The sequence below is a fragment of the Homo sapiens genome, chromosome 4 (assembly GCF_000001405.40).
Source record: "Homo sapiens chromosome 4, GRCh38.p14 Primary Assembly".
NCBI classification, from domain to species: Eukaryota; Metazoa; Chordata; class Mammalia; order Primates; family Hominidae; genus Homo; species Homo sapiens.
Window position 1 is genome coordinate 11,623,914 of NC_000004.12, and position 20,622 is coordinate 11,644,535.

General features: G+C 40.4%; 1 long non-coding RNA gene across 1 annotated transcript in view, besides 1 other annotated feature; it reads left to right on the forward strand.

Moving 5' to 3' along the window:
• Positions 1-20,622, forward strand: part of LOC107986178 (uncharacterized) — a 245,894-nt gene that overhangs the window by 79,941 nt on the left and 145,331 nt on the right. The gene's annotated exons all lie outside the window — the stretch shown is intronic.
• Positions 8,150-9,349: an enhancer, noted in NCBI's record as "CDK7 strongly-dependent group 2 enhancer chr4:11633687-11634886 (GRCh37/hg19 assembly coordinates)". NCBI's record gives its function as "activates an origin of replication core promoter dependent on BRD2, BRD4, P300/CBP, MED14 and CDK7 cofactors, with strong dependence on CDK7, by STARR-seq in HCT116 cells {active_cell/tissue: HCT116}" and the evidence as "EXISTENCE:reporter gene assay evidence [ECO:0000049][PMID:35650434]".

The window sequence follows — 20,622 nt, forward strand, 5'->3', positions numbered from 1 at the left end:
TCTGAAAGCTGCAGCCACTACCATCTTTGACGCAGTGTGTCTGTCCTGTGGGAATTAGGACAGAAAGACTGGGGAAAAAGAAAATGAGACAAAATAAAACAACAAAAAGAAAAAAGAAACAACTAATATTCTATGTTCTTTATAATTTACAAAGCACTTTTCTACAACCAGTCTCATTTAATACTTGCCATGAATATTATAATTTCATTACCATTCTACAGATGAGAAAACTGAGGCTAGCCTGACATATTACCAACACAGGCTACACCTTGGCAGGATATTCTGCCTCTTTTTACAATCAGCCCGTGAAATTTCTATAGCAGAAAGATTTGGAAGAAACGTTAATGATTATATCACATACTTCATAAGCACCATCTGCAGAGGTAAATACTATTTATTCAAAATAATAAAATTGAGGGACACAGAGAAGATAATCTCTTGGCTAAAGGATAGACCACACCTCACCTTTGACTTTAAATTATAATTGGCCAAGCTGACCTCCTTGAGCTTCTGTGTCCTAAGATCTTTATCCTCTGAGTCCAGACCCCTAGGCAGCCTCCCACTTCCTATTCACTACAAGTCAGTGTATTGCATAGCCTTCTCCTTTCAGGGATGTGTCCTGGTGACACGCAGGCTACATCAGATGGAGAGGAAGATTGACTAACTCATGTTCCTGTTCTCTCGAGGTGACTTTGCCAGGGGCTCATGAAAGTGAAGCATGCTTCTTAGGTGTGTCAGGAGGCCTGTGCCTGTGCCAACAAACCTCAGCTTGCACCATAGGTGTCCTTCTATCTCTGATAACTGTAGGCATTTGGTCAGCTGAAGGCTCTCTCTGGCACAGTACTGAGAAGAACCCTGGAACTCCCTCACAGTGAGTGATAGAAATGCTTTTCTTAGAATCACACAGCTTCTGGGTACAGAGTAAAGACCAGGCAATGCCTCCACTAGAGTGCCTCCTGATTATAGAAACTCGAGAATGTTTACAATACATTTTCAAGGCTTGCATCTATTCAGTGATAGAGCTGGTATTTGAACACAGTTCTTTCCAACACCAAAATCTCTGCTCTTGCCCATATATAAAACATATCGGTCTGAGAACGTGGGGACATGGAAGGCACATATAGAATCCAGGGTGTTTCACTTGTTAAATGTTCCTTACACCAACTGAAACACTCGAGCTTGTTGCTCGTAGCAAGTGAAGCCCTATCTGTTTGGTGGGGTGGGAGTCAGGGGGAAGCAGTAATTTGTGCTGCTATTGTTCCTTCAAACAACATTAGGCTATTTGTAGATATTATTCCCCATGGTCAGAACAATGTCAGCTATTTTTTCTGTGAAGGTCCAAGTTGACCCCGTAGGCAGTAATTTCCTGCCTCTCAAACCCAGTGGGCCTGGGCCATTCAGGCAAGCCCCAGGTGGCCCCGGCATAGAAGGACAGATGCCGACCTTCTTGGACTCATGTCCTTCCAAGCAGGAATTGTGAAAGTGCAGGCGCCAAGAATTAAGGAAAAGGAGGAAAAAGCCTTTCTTCCGAGCTTAGTGTGTTTCCCATAATGCATGGGTCATTCAGTCCATGGGAATGTGCTGCCAAATGACCGCTGTGCACTGAACCTCATCGGAGAGTGGAACTGGGCTTGGTGGAGGGTGGTAACAGAAAAGGTTTGAAAAAATGAGATCAGCCCCTGGCTTAGTTTCAGGAGGGGTGGGGTACTTTATGGAAAGCATATTGGTCCTGAAGACAGAAAGACACAGAGTTGTGTGTGTCTGCCTTTGCTGTGACAATTTTCTCTGAGTTTCAAATTCCAGATGAAAATCATATGAAGACACAGCATCATGTCAGGCAATAGAGACAAAAGCATCAACCTTTCGGGATCATTTGATGGATTAAACAGGAAAACCAAGTAGGTGATCCTTGTTTCCTCGACCAGTGAATAGAAAAGTGTGGGCACATGGGGAAGGCAAGATCAACCACCCTGAAATCAGAGAGAATAACTTAAGATGAGTTTAACTTGAATTCAGCTATGTGGCATAAACTCCTGATCCTACAGGAAGATAGGGGAGAGGGGTGGGGTTCAACAGAGCTAAAGAAACCAAGAAAGGCTTCTAGGCAATGGAAGAACTTAAGGAAGAAGAAAAGGAATCCAATGATTATATTTTTAGCAATTCGTGTAAAGTAAATTTCTACAGTGTGTACACCTAAGTGAAATAATCCTCATAATACCTGTGCAGTGAGTTTCCTTGTAGTTGAAATTGTTGCCACATGTTCCAAGATATTTTAGGTTTCTTAAAGTGTGAGTCACTGATAGTTCATCAAAATCACCTGGATGCTGGTTAACGGAAGCTCTTGAATCCCCCTTCCTCCCGTCCTACTGAATCAGAATCTCTTAAGATAAAACCAGGAACTACATCTTCATAAGCTCCCTGGGTAATTCCTATAAACAACATAGTTACAGAACCATTGTGTGAGTTATTACCTGCACATTGGGAATTACCTGAGAAACTTGAAACGTTCTCATTCTTCTGTCCTACCCTCAGAGATAATGATTTACTTAATTAAATCACCAGCTAGGAATTGGGATTTATAAGAGCTCTACAGGACATTCCAATATCCAGCCCAGTCTGGGACTCACCGGCCTAAGGGTCCATTTATATTTATGACACACATGATTTTCATCCAGGTAGCACTGGCAGGTGAAATACAAGACATTCGGTTAAATTTGAATTTCAGATAAATAATGCATGCTCTTTCTGTTGTTGTTTAACTATATGTATGTTGCAGTTATTGCATGGAATATATTCATACTTTTAAAATATTATTCAGTTAATCTGGGAACTCTAAGCCCACGTATCTTTAACTCTAAATCACATCGCCTTTTCACTATTTCCTGGTGTATCAATTTCTTAGTTTTGAAGGATAGGTGAAATTTGAACAGGGCAAACTCATTACCAAAACATTGCTCACAGACACCTCCCAATAAAAGCAAATTAATATAGATATACAAATGCAAGTGAAAACATTATTTAAAGTGAAGTACTTTCATGAGCCAATTTTTATCTCGTGTATTAGTTTTCTCTTTGCTGCTATCATAAATTACCACAAACTTAGTGGCTTAAGGCAACATGCATTTATGATCTTACAGGTATGGGTCAGTTATGGATCAAGATCAGGTTTCATTGACCTAAACTTAAGCTATCTGGAGGGCCCAGGGAAGAATTTGTTGACTTGACTTTTTCGGCTTCTAGACTCCACCAGCATTCATTGGCTCATGGCCCCTTTCTGTGTCCTCAAAGCTGGCGATGTTGCATCTCTCCCACTGTTGTTCTACAGTCAGCCTCCCTCTGGCCATAGCTGGGAAAGGTTGTTCTCTTTTAAGGGTTAGATTTGGCCTACCTGGATAATCCAGGATCATCTTCTCATCTGGAGATCCTAACATTCACATCTTCAAAGCCCCTGTGTATCAGTCTGTTATCACGCTGCTATAAGGACATACCCAAGACTGGGTAATTTATAAAGGAAAGAGGTTTAATGGACTCACAGTTCCACGTGGCTGGGGAGGCCTCACAATCATGGCAGAAGGCAAAGGAGGAGCAAAGGCATGTCTTACATGATGGCAGGCAAGAAAGCGTGTGCAGGGGAACTGCCCTTTATAAAACCATCATATCTCGTGAGACTTATTGACTATCATGATAACAGTATGGGAAAGACCTGCCTCAGTGGTTCAATTACATCCCACCGGGTCTCTCCCATCACACGTGGGAATTATGGAAGCTAAAATTCAAGATGGGATTTTGGTGGGGACAGAGCCAAACCATATCACCCTGTTTCTGTATGAACAAACAACAAACATATACACAGGTCCCAAGCATTAGGGAATGAACATCTTTTGTGGATTGTGGGAAAGCATTATTCTGCCTACTATTTCTCCTAATTTATTTATTTTACCAGTTAGATTTAAAAATCAATTTTGTGAAAGCAATGCAACCTTATATATCACATAAATATCCTTGTATAACAGACTATACTTTTCTCAAAAGCTACTAGTAACCTCTTAATTTTTTTATAGCAGGATCAGTGAGAAAATGTTGTAAAGTGAAAGTTGAAAATATAGTAATTTATTTTAGTCAACACTTATAGGGTGCTTACTCTGTGCCAGCCACTATTCTAAGCATTTCAAATGTTCACTCATTTAATCCTCATGTAACAGCACAGTATAGTAAGTGCTAGTGTTACTATTCCCATTCTGCAGATGAGAGATCAAGCCCAGAAAAGCTTATAATTTGGCCAGATTCACCAGTTGGAAAGTGGTGGGGCTGAGTCTCAAAACATTTCAAACATTCTCCTCTCCTGGAGCCCTTTTCACTTTTGATCTAGTGACTAATGCAATAGGACTTGCTGCTTACTTAACTATAGAATGATGTTTAGATATTTCTACAACCTTTAGCTTGAAATCTATAAACTTGAGTAAATGATTATTAGATTGTTTAGTAAGGGAAATGTGACACTGCAGGAATGTTGAGTCTTAGTTTAATCTACACATTTAATTTAGGTTTAGGACTTGGTTTATGTTTGATATCAAACTATCATCAAATGGAACACAGCATATCTGAGCTGAAAGTAAGACAGGGTCATGAGAGGCTCAGCTATGACCCAAAGCCACAGACAGCCTCAGGCAGTTGCAGACCAGGGCCCCAGGGCTTTTATGTCCCAGGCAATTGTGAGCACAATAAAAATGCTCAGGAGTTGTGAAATTCTTGTTCAGGGGGCTGATGTTTGGAAAGAGGGTAAAGCCAAAATCCAAGATTAACACAATCTTTGCTCATTAGAATAGTCCAGCAAAACATTAGCAAAGAATTTTGCCCTTCCCAGCATTTCTGTATTCAAGTACAATGTGCTTCTTCAATGCAATTTATGTTTCTACTTATTGCATTGTGTGCATTTAAGCAAGCCATCCAAAATCCCTTTTGGGACAGATATTCTAAGTCAAATGCATACTCTCCAATGTCATTCTTGTTAGAGAAAGTAACTTACGGTAGGTAAATAAAAGCAGAACAAAACATACTTCTGGTTCAATGTCTCCTCCCCAAGTTCCCTTCATTCATCACAGAGGTACCGCAAATTCATTCAGTTGAAGAAAATCCAGTGAGTTCTATAATTAAAATGAAGGCATTGTATCTCTTTCTAATTGGCTGCTTATTTTCTGACTTTTCAAGGTACATTCTGTCTGCCTCTCCAGGTTCACTCTCTACCTTTGTTCACTCTGAAAGGTATCCTGAGAGACTGCCTCAAATGGGCTCTTACGCTCTGGCTTCCTATTGGAATTGGTCAATGGGATATAGCAGCAAGAAATGGGAGATCAAAGGAAGAAGAGCTGGGAGCTACTGGTTCTTAGGGTTCCCTGTCTGCCTCATGGGAGTTTGGCCACAGCCAAGGTGCTCCTCTTGGATTGCAGCAGCTCCTGTGGGCAGCACTTTCCTACAGTTTCAACTCTCGCTGGGTTCCCATAACTGCTTTCTCCTCTTGCCTCGGTGTGGCTTGAGACAACAATTCAATTCACGGCTTATTCTAGGTGCTAAAGATGGAGTAGAGAACAAAAGAAGAAGAAAACATTCCTTCTTTATAGGGTTGAGTAGCCAGGAGGAAAGAGACAGAAAATAAACAAAAATAAAATGTGCTTAATGATGACCAAGTCTATGAATAAAAACAAAGCAGGGAAGGATGCTAGTAAGTGCTGGGACAGGGAAAGGTGTGCCTCTGAAAAAGGTGCTCAGGGAAGGCATGGGTGATATTTGAGTAAAGACTTGAAGGAGGTGAAGGAGCAGCCATGGAGATATGAGACAGAACAACAGTTCTAGAGAAAGGAAGAGCATGTGTAAAACCAAAAGGCAACCGCATGCTTAATGAGTGCATAAAACAGCAAGGGGCCAGTGTGGCTGGAGAAGAGTGAGGGAGAACACAGAGAAGGGCGGAGAGGTCATAGGGACAGTTCATGTAGGGACTTGCAGATCATTTTAAAGAATTTGGTTTTTATTCTGAATGAGCTGGGACACCCTTGGACTGAGGAATGGTGTGATCTGATTTATCTTTTATTTATTTATTTTTACGTTTATTTGTTTTTTTGTTTTTGTTTTAGACTGAATCTCTCTCTCTTTTGCCCAGGCTGGAGTGTAGTGGCATGATCTCGGCTCACTGCAACGTATGCCTCCTAGTTTCAAGCGATTCTCCTGCCTCAGCCTCCTGAGTAGCTGGGATTACAGGCACAAGCCACCATGCCTGGCTAATTTTTTTTGTATTTTTAGTTGAGACGAGGTTTTGCCACGTCGGTCAGGCTGGTCTCAAACTCCTGACCTCAGGTGATCCACCTGCCTCGGCCTCCCAAAGTGTTGGGCTTACAGGTATGAGCCACCGTGCCTGGCCCAATTTGTCGTTTTAAAGAATTACTCTTGCTTCTGACTACAAAGCATTCTTGGCTCATGTGTAAAATGAAGGAGGATCACTTAGAAGTTATTGCAATACTCTGGAGAGATATTATGATGGCTTGAGTCAAGGAATAGATGTGCTAAAAATGGTCAGGTCTGGATATATGAAGAAGGGAGAACCAATAGGATTTCCTGATGAATTGCATCTGAAGGGTAAGGGAAAAGAGTTAAAAAATGCATTGAAGTTTTTTACCTGGCTAACTAAGAAAATAAAGTTGTCATTAGTTGAGATGCAGAGGTGGGGCAGGGCATGGGAAATAACAGGAAGTGAATTTTAGATATGCCTGGCTAGAAATGTCTCTTCCCCCTCCAAGGGAGATGTCAAGTAGACAGCTGAACCTACAAGTCAGGGTTCAAGAGAGACATCCTTGCTAGAAATGCACATCTGAGAGTTTCCAGAACAGGAATAGCATGTAAAGCTGGGCATCTAAATGTTCCCTAGAAAGCAGGTCAAAGTAAGGAAATCCAAGAACTGAGGCTCATTTAAAGGTCTTAAGGGTAAAAAGGAACAACATAGTCACTAAAAAAAAGCCCACCCTGAAGGAAACTTGGAGAATGGGTTGACCGAAAGTCAAGTAAAGAAAGTGTGGCCAGAAAGAGGGACAGATCTAGCATATAAAGTGCTAATAGATCAAGCCAGATGGACTGAGAATTAGGCCTTAAATAAGCAATATGGAAGGCCTTGGTGAATAAAACAGAAGTAACATTTGTGGATTAGTAGGCAAATATATGTATATGATTGTATATAAATACATTTGTATACATATATATGTATATGAGATACATAGAGAGAGCTCAAGAGAGAACAGGAGGAAAGGATTTGGAGAGAGTAAATGTAGACCATTATTTGAATACTTTAACTGTAAATAGGGGCAAAAACTGGGGTAATAACTGGAGGTTACGATATAAAATCAAGTCAGGGTTTTCTTTAATGGAAAAAGTAATATATAATTTTAATCAGACTTATCCCAAAGAAAGGGGAAATTGATGATGTAGAAAAAGAAAAAGGGACAACTGTTGGTTTCCTTCTTGAGTAGACAAAATAAGACATTAATATTGGATGGTAGAGCACCTGGCTGATTGAACCTGGTCCCAGGAAAATCAAAGTTGAATTATTTAGAGCGCTCACAGGAGATTAATGTAGGTCAATGATAAAAGATGATTCATATATACTTTTGATGTATGCACAGCTATTCATGAATATTTTTTGCTGAGTAAAACTATATATATGCCTTCATTTGCCTAAGAGGATACAAGTAAAATATGCAGATGTATGACTCAATAGCATAAGAGAAACTCTTGGGCTAGGAGGATTTGTTTACGGTTGAAGGAGGTCATCAAATTAGGAAACTTCTTTTATATTTTGAGCTGGAATCTCTTCTTCTTTATCTGTTATCTACTAAGCCCAGTTCTTCTCTATCTGTTACCTACTAAGCCTGGCACATCATAGTGGCACCCTCTGTGTCCTATGACAACTTTCCTGTGCTCTCAACTTTTGCCTACTTCAGGTAAACCATCTCAGTTTTTTCTAACATTATTTATTTTTATTTCTATCCTCTCCTCAATGTCAACCATTGTCCTCTGACTGTGTGTCTGCTTGCCAAAATCACTTTTGATGTGTAATTCTTGGAAGAGACCCCAGGATTCAGGTTTGATCTTACCAGCTTACTTTAACTGTTAACTCTCGTTGTCTTTTTCCTGGTCACCACATTTCTGTTAATGTTGCCTGGCATTTCATTAGTTCTCTTGGTAACGTTTTAGGCTGAAAGCTCATATTACTCATCTTGGAGTAACCGTAATATGTTGGGCCAACATTACCCTAAGGTAACTACATGCATGAGATCACCTAAGACTCTTGAACATCCTGTGGAGTATGTGTAGTTAGTATTACGTTACAAAGTAAAAAACAGACTCAGCAAGCTTATGGATGTGCCCAAACCCTACAGCTCACAGTCAACTGCAACCTGTTAACACAGCATGTCTGTCCTGAAACCTAGCTTTTGCATTGCCCCAGGATGCTTTGAAATCAAATGATTGCAATACAGATATGGATGAGGCAAGAAGAGATACAAAATGTTATGAAACATATGGGGACAAAGCTAATTCCACTTTCCACGATTGCAGTTATTTCAGTAACCCTCAAGGCCAGGAGCCCATCACCTCCCATTGGTGGATGGATGCACCATTTTCTGCAGGATAGTAAGAGCTGGGCTGAACCAGGAAGTAGCCTCCTTGGAGGGCAGTGCTGGATAGTTAGTCACTGCTCTCCCCGAAAGCCGAAAGACAACGCCCTGGTGCCAATGAGGCACCTTCCTGTCCAAGGGTGTGTGTGAGAACCGGAAATCAAGAGCTGCAAGTCACTGCTCATGGGACTAGTTTCGGCCTAAGAGACCTGGTGAAAGCCAGACTTTAAAATGTCACTTTCAGGATGCAGGTTTTTAAATTGGTAGGTGTACTTGATAATATTGTAAGCTGAGTATGTGGGAAAAAATACAGTGTGGTCCACAGAAATGATCACAAGATACCTAAATAGAAGCAATAGGGTCTGCATAGGATTTTAATAGAGCTATCATAATGGAGAAACCTTGTGATTTTGCCTAAAAACAAGCATGAAGCATTTAAAATTTTAAAGTAATAATTACTGTGCCCAACAGACACATGGTAACCATTGCATCCCCAGCCCATCTTCGATCCCCAACCCTTCACTAGCAGCTCTCCTCACTTCCCTCATCTTTTATTCCCCATGTACGTGTAGCTAGGAGTGGAGTGAGGTTTAGGGCAACATTATAAATATCATACCAGGCCAGGCATGGTGGCTCACGCCTGTTTTCCCAGCACTTTGGACTTTGGGAGGCCAAGGCGGGCAGATCATGAGATCAGGAGTTCGAAACCAGCCTGGCCAGCATGGTGAAACCCCATCTCCACTAAAAATACAAAAAAAAAAAAAAAAAAATTAGCCAGGCATCTTGGTATAGTCCCAGCTACTTGGGAGGCTGAGGCAGGAGAATCGCTTGAACCACGGAGGCAGAGGTTGCAGTGAGCCGAGATCCTGCCATTGCCCTCCAGCCCGGGTAACAGAGCAAGATTCTGTCTCAGAAAAATAAATAAATAAATATAAATAAATAAATAAATAAATATCATACTAAATCATTCCTTTTATCAAAATGGCCTAATCAAAATGACGGTAGGACAGTGTTCAGCTCTGAGGTGGACACATGTCAATATAGACCTGTGAGTCAGAGCATTTGGGCGTGGATGGATACCTCAAAAGAATTTCAGGTGCTCAGAGGACAAGCCCAAGAACAAGTCACAGGGCACAGGTCCCCAGAAAAAAAAATTGGGGTGCAAAAGCTACAAGCAAAGTTGCTTAGCAGGGACAGGGTTACCTAGGTCTAAATCCTGTCTGGCTTGATCATAGGACAAGTGATAAAGATAAGTGCTCAGGCAGAGGAGGTGGTGAGGACAGATTAATATTTACTGAGTCCCAACATTTTGCTGGGTAATGCCCTAGGCACTTCAAAGCTTCTGTTCTATTTGATCTTCACACTAAACAGACCTGAAATGAATTTGTCCCATTAATATATGGGTAAACTCAGGCTTGGAAAGTCAAGTAACTTACTCAAAGTCACTGATGTTATAAATGATGTTTCCTACTTGGGCTGCTCGATTCCAAAGCCTGAACTTTTTGCAGTGTATCACTGGCTAGAGAAAGACTCACAGCCTCAGGATGTAAGTCCACTTCTTGAAATTTGAAGCTTATCAACAGCTAGATGGGTCACAGGTTTTATGAATCCAGAATCTACCAATTTTTAGCCAGATCACCCCTACCCCACTGTCTAAGCCATCCCCACCGGATCCTGAACATTCCCTGGAAAATTATTGCATCTGCCATGTTTTGGCTTACAGAAATGCCCTACTCCTTTCTATATCAATCAAAGTGAACTTTCACTTTAAGGACCAGCACCCAAGCCATATTTATCTCAAGTCCTTCCAAGGTCCTACAAAGCTGAACCAAGCCTGGCCCCACCTGTCCCACAAACACACTCTGTATCCTCCTGCCTCACCCTCAACTGCACTGCAATCACTGGTACACAGCTCCACCCCTTAGTTTCAGGGAAGCCTGGACTAATGACAACAACCAGGTTTCTGAATGGATCAAAGGTATTATCAGACATACGTCACTTCCTACACTAACTACGTAAGTCATTTTCTCTTGCTCTGCCTCAGTTTCTGTGTCTTTAAAATCAAGGATTGATAAAAACATGTGCCTAGTGCTTAGGATTGCAACTGGCACAAAGAAAGGAGATGAGACTTGCACAAAATGTGATCCTTTGTGTCTCATCTTGACCCTGTGTCCTTCAGACACTTTTGTTCAGCCCCAGGCCAGGAGGCTTTACTGAAATTTTATGTATTCCTTTGAAGCTGCCCCAGCACTTGCCAGAGAGGGTTTCATGTGTTTTAGTTGAGCTAACTGTAACATGTTCCTAACATTTTATACCTGAAACACATGACTCTTTCATTGGTGCAATTTTATATGAATATGGGTAACACATATGCTAGGGCTGTCATAACACAGTGCCACAGGTGGGGTGGCTTCAATAGCAGGAATTTATTGTCTCACAATTCTACAGGCTAGATGTCCAAGATTAAGGTGTCAGCAGGGTTGGCTTCTCCCTGTGACTTCACATGGTCACCCCTCTTTGTTCCAATCTCCTCTTCTTTAAGGGACATCAGCCATTATCAGTGCCCATCCTAATAGTTTTTTAACCTCAATTTCCTCTAAAAATCTTAACTGAAGTTAAGGCTTTAAAATATGAATTTGGGGGAGGAACAGGATTCACTGGTTGTTGTGCAAACACTCCAAGCTGAAGCCTTTTACTGGAGCAGAGAGGACAAGACAGCATCGGCCTAGGCTTAAAGTTATTCCAGCTTTGCCTGCCTTGCATGGGGGGGCTATGCATGAGACATGGCTGGGAAACTTGCTAGCTGAAGAAACCATAGGAAGAATGAAATTCAGGAAACAGGGACACATGAACCCTGCACACACAGTGAGCTCACAGGTGGCCGCTTTGTCATGAGAAGTATTTCACCCTGGCCTCCTGGGAGCACTGAGTGTGGTAGGGACAGCAAGCTCTGAACTTAGAGAAAAATGAGTTTCTACCCTAGCTTTGCAACCAACAAGAAACAGAACCAGTTACCTAAGCTTTGTGAGTCATTGCTTTGCCATCTGTAAAATGAGCTAATGCTAATACTTGCTTAACCAACCTGTTGTGAAGATTGAATTACATAATGCCTAGGGAAACATTTTCCGTAATGCTGGATACATTCTAAATGCTCAGCAAGTGAGAGTTATGGTTGGGATTGTTAATAATAACAGCATTGTCCTTGTTACTGTAATACATAAAGTTATTATTATTTTACAGAGTTGGAATAGGGCGCTTTCTTTTCATCCCATCATACTGACCCTCCACTAGGGTTTATGCTCTTCATGAAGGGTTTGTAAGGGAGCAGATGCCTTCTGCGGTGCAGGCACAAACCATCTCATAGGATTCTGGATGGTAAACTTAGATATCACAGTTACAACCCAATTATTTTTCAGATGAAGGACCGAGGTCCCAGGAAGGGAAGTGACATTGTAAGGTCCCTTGATGGCTCATTAGCAGAACTGGGATTAAAATCCTGATATCTTAATGCCTAGTTTCAAGCACTCTCTTTTGTATTCCCACTTTCTCCAATACTGTAATCCCTCCACCAGATCACTGCCCTTTCAGACACTGTGTGAGGTTAAAAGTAGTTCAGTATACTAATTTGGAATTCTGGGCCTGTCATGTATTAACTGTGCGACCTTGGATGAGTAATTTAACCTCTTCCTACCTTAGTTTCTCCTCTGTAAAATGAAAGTTATAATAGGGCTCATTTTGTAAGATTGTTGGTGAGGGTTAAATGAGGCCATACATACAGCTTGCTTGCTTAGCATGATATCTGCTGCTTGTCACGTGTTCTTTGGCAATTCCCTGGAAATAGTTAAACGTGTCAGCTGCATTTTGCAGCTACGAAGCGAGAAAAGGAAGAGAAGGCAGAGGAGTAGAGTGTATTCATGGAATCTAAGCTGGGGAAGATGGGTGTGAGGGTATGCAGGGCAGTGGAAAGTGAGGAAACAGTGAACTGTAAATAACGAAGAAATAGTCAAGAACTCAGTATTATAACTGTCTGCTTCTGTGCCGGTCTTCCACCACTAACTGGTGGAACTGGCTCCTGGTCACCTTTCTGAACCTTTCTACCTCCTGCTCTTGACATTGTACCTGGTATAGAGTTTGGCACCATAATTTCAGTGGAATGAGTGAGTCCATGAATATGCAAATGCAGGAATGTAGCCAGGCTCATCCCATGGTGTCAAAGTTGATCACATTCTTTTCTGAGTAACGGAGGAGAGTTGTGAGCCCGCTGCCACTTTAAGTACAGGGGATGCAGGGAGTGATGTGCTGGAGTCAGCATCAAGGACATCTCTGCCCAACTATGTGACTAGGTGGGCCAGGGGCTTATAGGTAGACATGGAGGAAATCTTCACACCAGAGGAATTAGCAGGTGCTACTGTTCAGGGCTTCCCTCCCACCCCTTCTTAAACATTTATCAGTGTAATGGCTCTTTCTTGCACTGCTATAAAGAACTACCTGAAGACTGGGTAATTTATAAAGAAAAGATATTTAATTGGCTCACTGTTCTGAGGTCTATGCAGGGCTTCTTCTTCTGGGGAGGCCTCAGGAAACTTACAATCATGGTGAAAAATGAAGAGGAAGGAGGCACATCTTACATGGCTAGAACAGGAGGAAGTGAGTGAAGGGCAACGTGCTACCCACTTTCAAACAACCAGGTCTCACAAGAACTCACTCACAAGACAGCACTAGGGGGATGGCGCTAAACCATTAAAAACCACCCCCATGATCCAAGCACCTTCCACCAGCACCTTCCCCACCTTCAACACTGAGATTACAATTTGACATGAGATTTGGGTGGGGACACAGAACCAAACCAAATCAATCAGCACTTCAGTGAGGCAGAAAATGCACCCAAGAAATCTCAACTCATTCATTCTGGATGCTGTGGGGGCTCTTCTGAGCTCCCCAGCAAGCATGATCTTCTCTTCTGAAAATTCCTCCAGGCTTCACCATTTTCTCTGACCCTCTTTCAGTTCTCAGTTCTATGAACTGGGGCTTGGGAATTGTGAGTCATACACACAGACCCCTTGGAACTTAGTGAGAATTTTGTGGGGAAATACATTTTAAAATATTTTAGTTTAAAATTGTCTTGGAAAAGTATGTAGCAGTATCAAATAGACATCATCATTTTAAAAAACTACGTACTTTTAATATCCCTATAGAATAAATACGAAAAAATGTCACAGCTTTCTCTTGATTGAGATAATAAATTGCTCACCAAACTTATTGTAAATATAACTGGATACAGAATGTAATAATATAATTTTCTCTGAAACAGATTTGAACAGATGTATGTTTAAACTTACATCCATCACTAGTATCTGTGTATCTTAGGCAAATGTACAAATCTCACTAGAACATACTTTCCTCATTTTGAAAATGGGGAAATAATCTGCAAGTGAAGTGTTGTCTTAATAATAATGTTTGCAAGGCTTCTACATCAGTGTTTGACACAAAGAAGGAACTTGGAAAATATATATGTTTTTAAAAGATAATTTTATAAATAGGAGAATTAGCAATGCCAGAGCCCGAGGTGGTCCATCTTCAGTTTTTCTTCCTAGAATTGAAGATGTAAACAGCTTAATGATGGACTAAAATTCACAAATGGGTCCCTAGCTGCTGCATTTCCCCCAATTCTGATAGCTGGAACTTTGAGAAGTGCTGAGGCTATAATGTAGGTTCATGAAGGAAAGGTTATAGGAAATGAGTGTGCATAGCATTTTCTGGAAACCAAGTGCTTAAAAGAAGAAAAATGTTGGTCTTTTTAATATAGGTCAAGAACAGAATTTCAAGGATAATTAGAGTTATGCAATATTATAAAAGTCACAGCATTGCAAAACTGAAAACTCTTCTAAACACAAATGTATTGAGCACCTATTATTTCAATTAGCCTTTTACAAAATGCTAAAGTTGGAATATCCTATAGGCATCCTTGAAACAATGCAAAGGTGACCTCAATGGTGACAATTCCGACTATTTCAATAGGACAGTTCTTCAGTATGCAGGAATGTTTTCCTCATTGTGAGTATCTTAGCATCCCAGCCTCACTTACTGTGTGAGTATGACAATAAACATGCTTCCCCACACTTCTTCTATGTGCCCTCAGAGAACAGTTGTAGACCCACATTAGGGCCATGCGGCTACCTGCCACTTATTTCTCAGATGAGGATAGAAGATTCAGAAAAGAATAGTGTCACATTCAATTTCAAACAGGTGCTCCCTCTCAGTCCTGATTCTTGCACCAGGAGGCTTTTCGGATTCCACTGCTACATGAAGTATTTTTTAAATTAAGTCCCTGATGAAACCCTTTTTTTTTTCTTGAGAATCAGAAGTTAGAATTGAAAGGAAAATTGGAATCTGTTTTGTCCAACCTCCTCATATGGCCAAAAAGAAAATGAGGAACAGAGAAAAGGATAACTTAGCAGATTTAATTCAGTCTCTGGGGGAATAGTGATAATTCAAGCCATTGCTGACAAACAGATGTAACCACTTAATGGATTTACTTTGCCCAATGCCCAGATAGAGCCAATTTATCAAGACAGGGAATTGCAATAGAGAAAGAGTTTAATATGTATAGAGCCAGCTACACAGGAGACTGGAGTTTTATTATTACTCAAATCAGCCTTCCCCAAAATTCAGAGGCTAGAGTTTTTCAAGGATAGTTTGGTGGGTAGGTGGGTAGGGAATGGGTGCTGCTGACTGGTTGGAGTGCAATCATAGAGGTGTAGAAAATGGTCCTCCTGCCCTGAATCAGCTTCTGGGTGGGGGCCATAGAGGAGTTGCTGCCTTGGGTGGGGCTATCTGGTCATCAGAAATGCAAATGCTTGAAAAGACATTTCAAAAGGCCAATCTTAGGTTCTACAATAGTGATGCTATTTACAGGAGTATGTGGGGAATTTGTAAGTTTTGTGATCTCTGGAACAATGGTTGATTATTGTTTAACTAAGCCTAGATTGTAGCAGAATTCAGGCCCCTCTCATCCTACTAATCTGGTGGCTTTTCTTCAGTTTTACAAAGGCAATTTAGTTTTAGGAAGGGCTATTATCATTTAACCTATAAACTAAATTTCTCTGAAAGTTAGCTTGACCCATGCCCAGGAATAACCAAGGGCAGTTTGGGGGTTAAAGACAAGATGAAGTTGGTTAAGTAAGGTCCCTTTCACTGTCATAGTTTTCTCACTGTTATAATTTTTGCAAAGGTGGTTTCACAGATACCCCAGTGAAGCTGGTTTATCGTAGAATAAACGTTAACATTTGAATAGACTTCTTGAGGCTGGGGAAATAAAAGGCCCTGGGTGACCAGATGATTCTGTTCTGTAAAACAGGCTTGACAATAGTAGCATGGTTGGGCCTGGAGTTAGGGGATATTTTGTATGGAAAGGAATTTAGTTGATGTCTGGACTGATATCTAAAGGCCTGAATGACAAAGTCTGAGGGAGGGTCTCTAGTATTAAAACATCTATTTATCAACTTCAAGTTAGCAATAGTAATCATAATAGCTGTCATTTCTTGATACCTGCTCACGTCCCATGCAGGTTACCTTTACAAGTGGAGGTAGGACTCGCTGTATCCCTACTGTAGGTCCATTTTTCAGATGAGTATATTGAGGTTCAGAGAAGTTAAGTAATTGTCCAAAGTCACACAGATAGTATCAGCAGAATTAGGATTCCATAAATATGTATGGAATTCTTTCTCTATCTCACTTTCTGTAGCAGTGGTTGGGGATATGCAGATACACAAGAATGGACCCTTGCTTTTGAGGTCTCCAGCCCAGTGGGGAAGGCTGCTGAAATGGGGACATTTCAACTGTAGAGTCTTTGGGCTCCTACTGACCTATAAGGGCTGAGAAAGCAGAGGTGGTCTAGGCTGGTTGATGATGGAAGTAAATTTCAGGAGTTTTCTTAGAGGACTCCAGCATTAGTGTAGTCTTGGAAAATGAGTAGGACTTGGCCAGATGAAGGAATAATGAGACTATTGAGGAGTAGGGACAAGGATGGAGTGAGAACTTCTTAGGATATGCAAAAATCCAGAAATCAGAAACAAGGCTTTTTTGTGGAGCTACAGTATTAATGACTAAAACATGAGCCACATGTTTCAGAAGAGGGCATAAAGATATTTCCCCCTGCCTAGGTGACCACAGGATAAACAGCCTGCTCAAATAAAGGACATATAAGCAGCACAGTCGAATAGGAGGTACCAGGTTTTAGGGTCAGTGAATCATCATAAAGGTTCTCCTGTCTTTTCGTCTCTAAATACCAGGGAGCTGGAGCACAGCTCAGAGGGTCAGAGGTGGGAGGCAAAGTGCTGCACTCTTGTTCAATAGTTTTCTTGGCCCTCCTTGTCTAGATATTTTCTGCCTTCTAAAATTTTTCTTGCTTCTCTGTTCTCTCCCCTTTTCATCCATTTTCTGGCTACCTTGTTCCCATTCTTGACCCTCTCTAGCTGTTTATGTTTGTCCATTTGCTCTCTCATCAGAATAGAAGTTACAGCTCTGCCACATCCTCAGTGTGCAATTCGGAGACATCACCTAACTTATCTGGGCCTCATTTTCCTCATGTGCACAATGGGTATTCTCTCTTATGGAAGTGAGGAAGACCAAATTTAAGACAGCTGCAAACTTTAATGGACCAAGCAAATCTCTTTTGTTATTGATATTGTAATCCAGAAGTCATAGTTAAGAATAAGGTTGCATCATAGAGTTCCTAAATTTTGTGGCTTCCTATGTGTAAATGGAAGAACAAAAAATACACCTATTTGCATTTAAATACAAGTCTAAATCCCTCCCAAAAGTGGTAATAACCACCCCAAATGAATTATACATTTTCTAATTTTAAAAGGCCGTTTTATGGAAATGAGGCTATTTGTGCTGCATAGTATGCTCTTGTTGTATCAATGCAAATGCCAAAGGGTGTGATTTATCCAGACTAAAACACCAATGGGAAAAAGAAAAAAAATAGGATCTCCTTTGCATTACATTTTAAACACTCGGTAAGTACTTCACCTGTAAACCCCTCCCCTCCAGGGAAAATAAGTAGCCATGTGGGCATTTCATATTTTTCAGCTGTGCTGGGTGACAACGATTTGCTGAAGTTATCCAGCATGGAGTGTGTGGTAAATCCTGAAGAAATGCAATTTCATTTTCAAAGATTCAATGAGAGCTGATTTGTATGTATAATCCTCTATAATTTTGTGAATGCAAGTCTTACGTTGTGTTTCTAGTCACTGTTCCCAAAACCTGAGTGTGTAAATCCAATTTACATGTTCAATTACATCCATTTGAACAGTGGTCTTTAATATAAGTTCCCATGTTAATTTTTGGAATCTATGACAGCGACCATCTTTTGCAGCCACTCCCTGCAGGAAGGGCTATCATTACTAGAAAGCATGTGACTTTCAGACTAGAAATCAAATGCCCTCAATGTCTGTAGTTGTTCCTTGGCCTCTAATCACAGACTCTATGCATATGCGGGTTGGGAAAAGAAAATAGGGGTAAGGGGAGAGCTGCAGAGAAAAGGTTTTCTGAAATATTTCTCTTTATTCATTGAGGAATAATGCCCTTTCAGATGTAAAATAATTCCCAGGGAAGAAGAAAAGCCTACCAAAAAATACAAAATGCTAATGATGCTTTTCCCATGAAGTATAAATAAGCAAATACTTTTTTTTTTTTTTCCAAAACAAACTACAGAAAAACAAGAAGAAACAAAAACAACTTTCTCTGGGAACAAAATTAAAATATATTGTGTGTGACATCTTGGAAGTCCTTTCATCTCTTACAGTTTTACTTTTTAAGTACTAAAAGTAGGAGGTTGTGCTAGTGACATTTAAGCACAGTAGTAGAACTTCCTTCTTTTTAATGAGAAGCAAGTGGAAACCCAATAAATAAAACGAGAACTTGTATTTTACTAGTAATATCTATTTCACATAAATAATGTTTATTTATTTACCAATTATGTGTGTTTTTTAAATTATACTTTAAGTTTTGGGATCCATGTGCAGAACGTGCAGGTTTGTTACATAGGTATACATATGCCATGGTGGTTTACTGCACCCATCAACCTGTCATCTACATTAGGTATTGAAACTATTGCTATCCCTCCCTTGCCCCCCACCCTCTGACAGGCCCCAGTGTGTGATATTCCCCTCCATGTGCCCATATGTTCTAATTGCTCAAATCCTACTTATAAGTGAGAACATGTGGTGTTTGGTTTGCTATTCATGTGTTAGTTTGCTGAGAATGATGGTTTCCAGTTTCATCCATGTCCCTGCAAAGGACATGAACTCATTCTTTTTTATGGCTGCATAGTATTCTATAGTATATATGTGCCACATTTTCTTTATCCAGTCTATCATTGATGGGCATTTGAATTGGTTCTGTGTCTTTGCTATTGTGAATAGTGCTGCAATAAGCACACATGTGCATGTGTCTTTATAGTAGAATAATTTATAATCCTTTGGGTATATACCCAGTAATGGGATTGCTGGGTCAAATGGTATTCCTGGTTCTAGATCCCTGAGGAATCACCACACTGTCTTCCACAATGGTTGAACTAATTTATACTTCCACCAACAGTGTAAAAATGTTCCTATTTCTCCACATCCTCTCCAGCATCTGTCGTTCCTGACTTTTTAATGATTGCCATTCTAACTGGCGTGAGATGGTATTTCATTGTGGTTTTGATTTGCATTTCTCTAATGATGAGTCATGATGAGCTTTTTTTTTTTCATGTTTGTTGGCTGCATAAATGTTTTCTTTTGAAAAGTGTCTGTTTGTATCCTTTGCCTACTTTTTGATGGGGTTATTTGTTTTTTCTTGTAAATTTGTTTAAGTTCCTTGTAGATTCTGGATATTAGCCCCTTGTCAGATGGCTAGATGGCAGAAATTTTCTCCCATTCTGTAGGTTGCCTGTTCACTCTGATGGTAGTTTCTTTTGCTGTGCAGAAGCTCTTTAGTTTAATTAGATCCTATTTGTCCATTTTGGCTTTTGTTGCAATTGCTTTTGGTGTTTTAGTCATGAAGTCTTTGCCCATGCCTATGTCCTGAATGGTATTGCCTAGGTTTTCTTCTAGGATTTTTATGGTTTTAGGTCTTACGTTTAAATCTTTAATCTATCTTGAGTTAATTTTTGTATAAGGTGTAAGGAAGGTGTCCAGTTTCAGTTTTCTGCATATGGCTAGCCAGTTTTCCCAAGACCATGTATTAAATAGGGATTTCTTTCTCCATTGTTTGTTTTTGTCAGGTTTGTCAAAGATCAGATGGTTGTAGACGTGTAAGTTTTTTTCTGAGGCCTCTGTTCTGTTCCATTGGTCTATATATCTGTTTTGGTACCAGTACCATGCTGTACGGGTTACTGTAGCTTTGTAGTGTAGTTTGAAGTCAGGTAGCGTGATGCCTTCAGCTTTGTTCTTTTTGCTTAGGATTGTCTTGGCTATATGAGCTCTTTTTTGGTTCCATATGAACTTAAAGTAATTTTTTTTCTAATTCTGTGATGAAAGTCAATGATAGCTTGATGGGAATAGCACTGAATCTAAAAATTACTTTTGGCAGTATAGCCATTTTCATGATATTGATTCTCCCCATTCATGAGCATGGAATGTTTTTTCATTCGTTTGTGTCCTCTCTGATTTATTTCTGTAAGTTTCTATCTCTCAGCCATCCTTCAGCAAACTGCATACCTCAACTCTGTGTGTAATTCAACTCTTTGTGTGGTCCTCTTATTGAAGCTTCTCCTTCTCTGCTTTTTCTTCCTCCTTTCTTATCCCCTCTCCTTTTTCTCCTTCTTTCTTCTTCTTTTTCATCCTCCTCTTCCTCTTTCTTGTTTTCTTCTTTTCCACCTCCTTCTTTCTCTCTTTCTTTATCTTCCCCTTTCCCTCTTTTTTGTTCTTTCTTTGGAATCCACCTCCATTTCAGAGCACCAAATGCCTTTAAAAAAGAA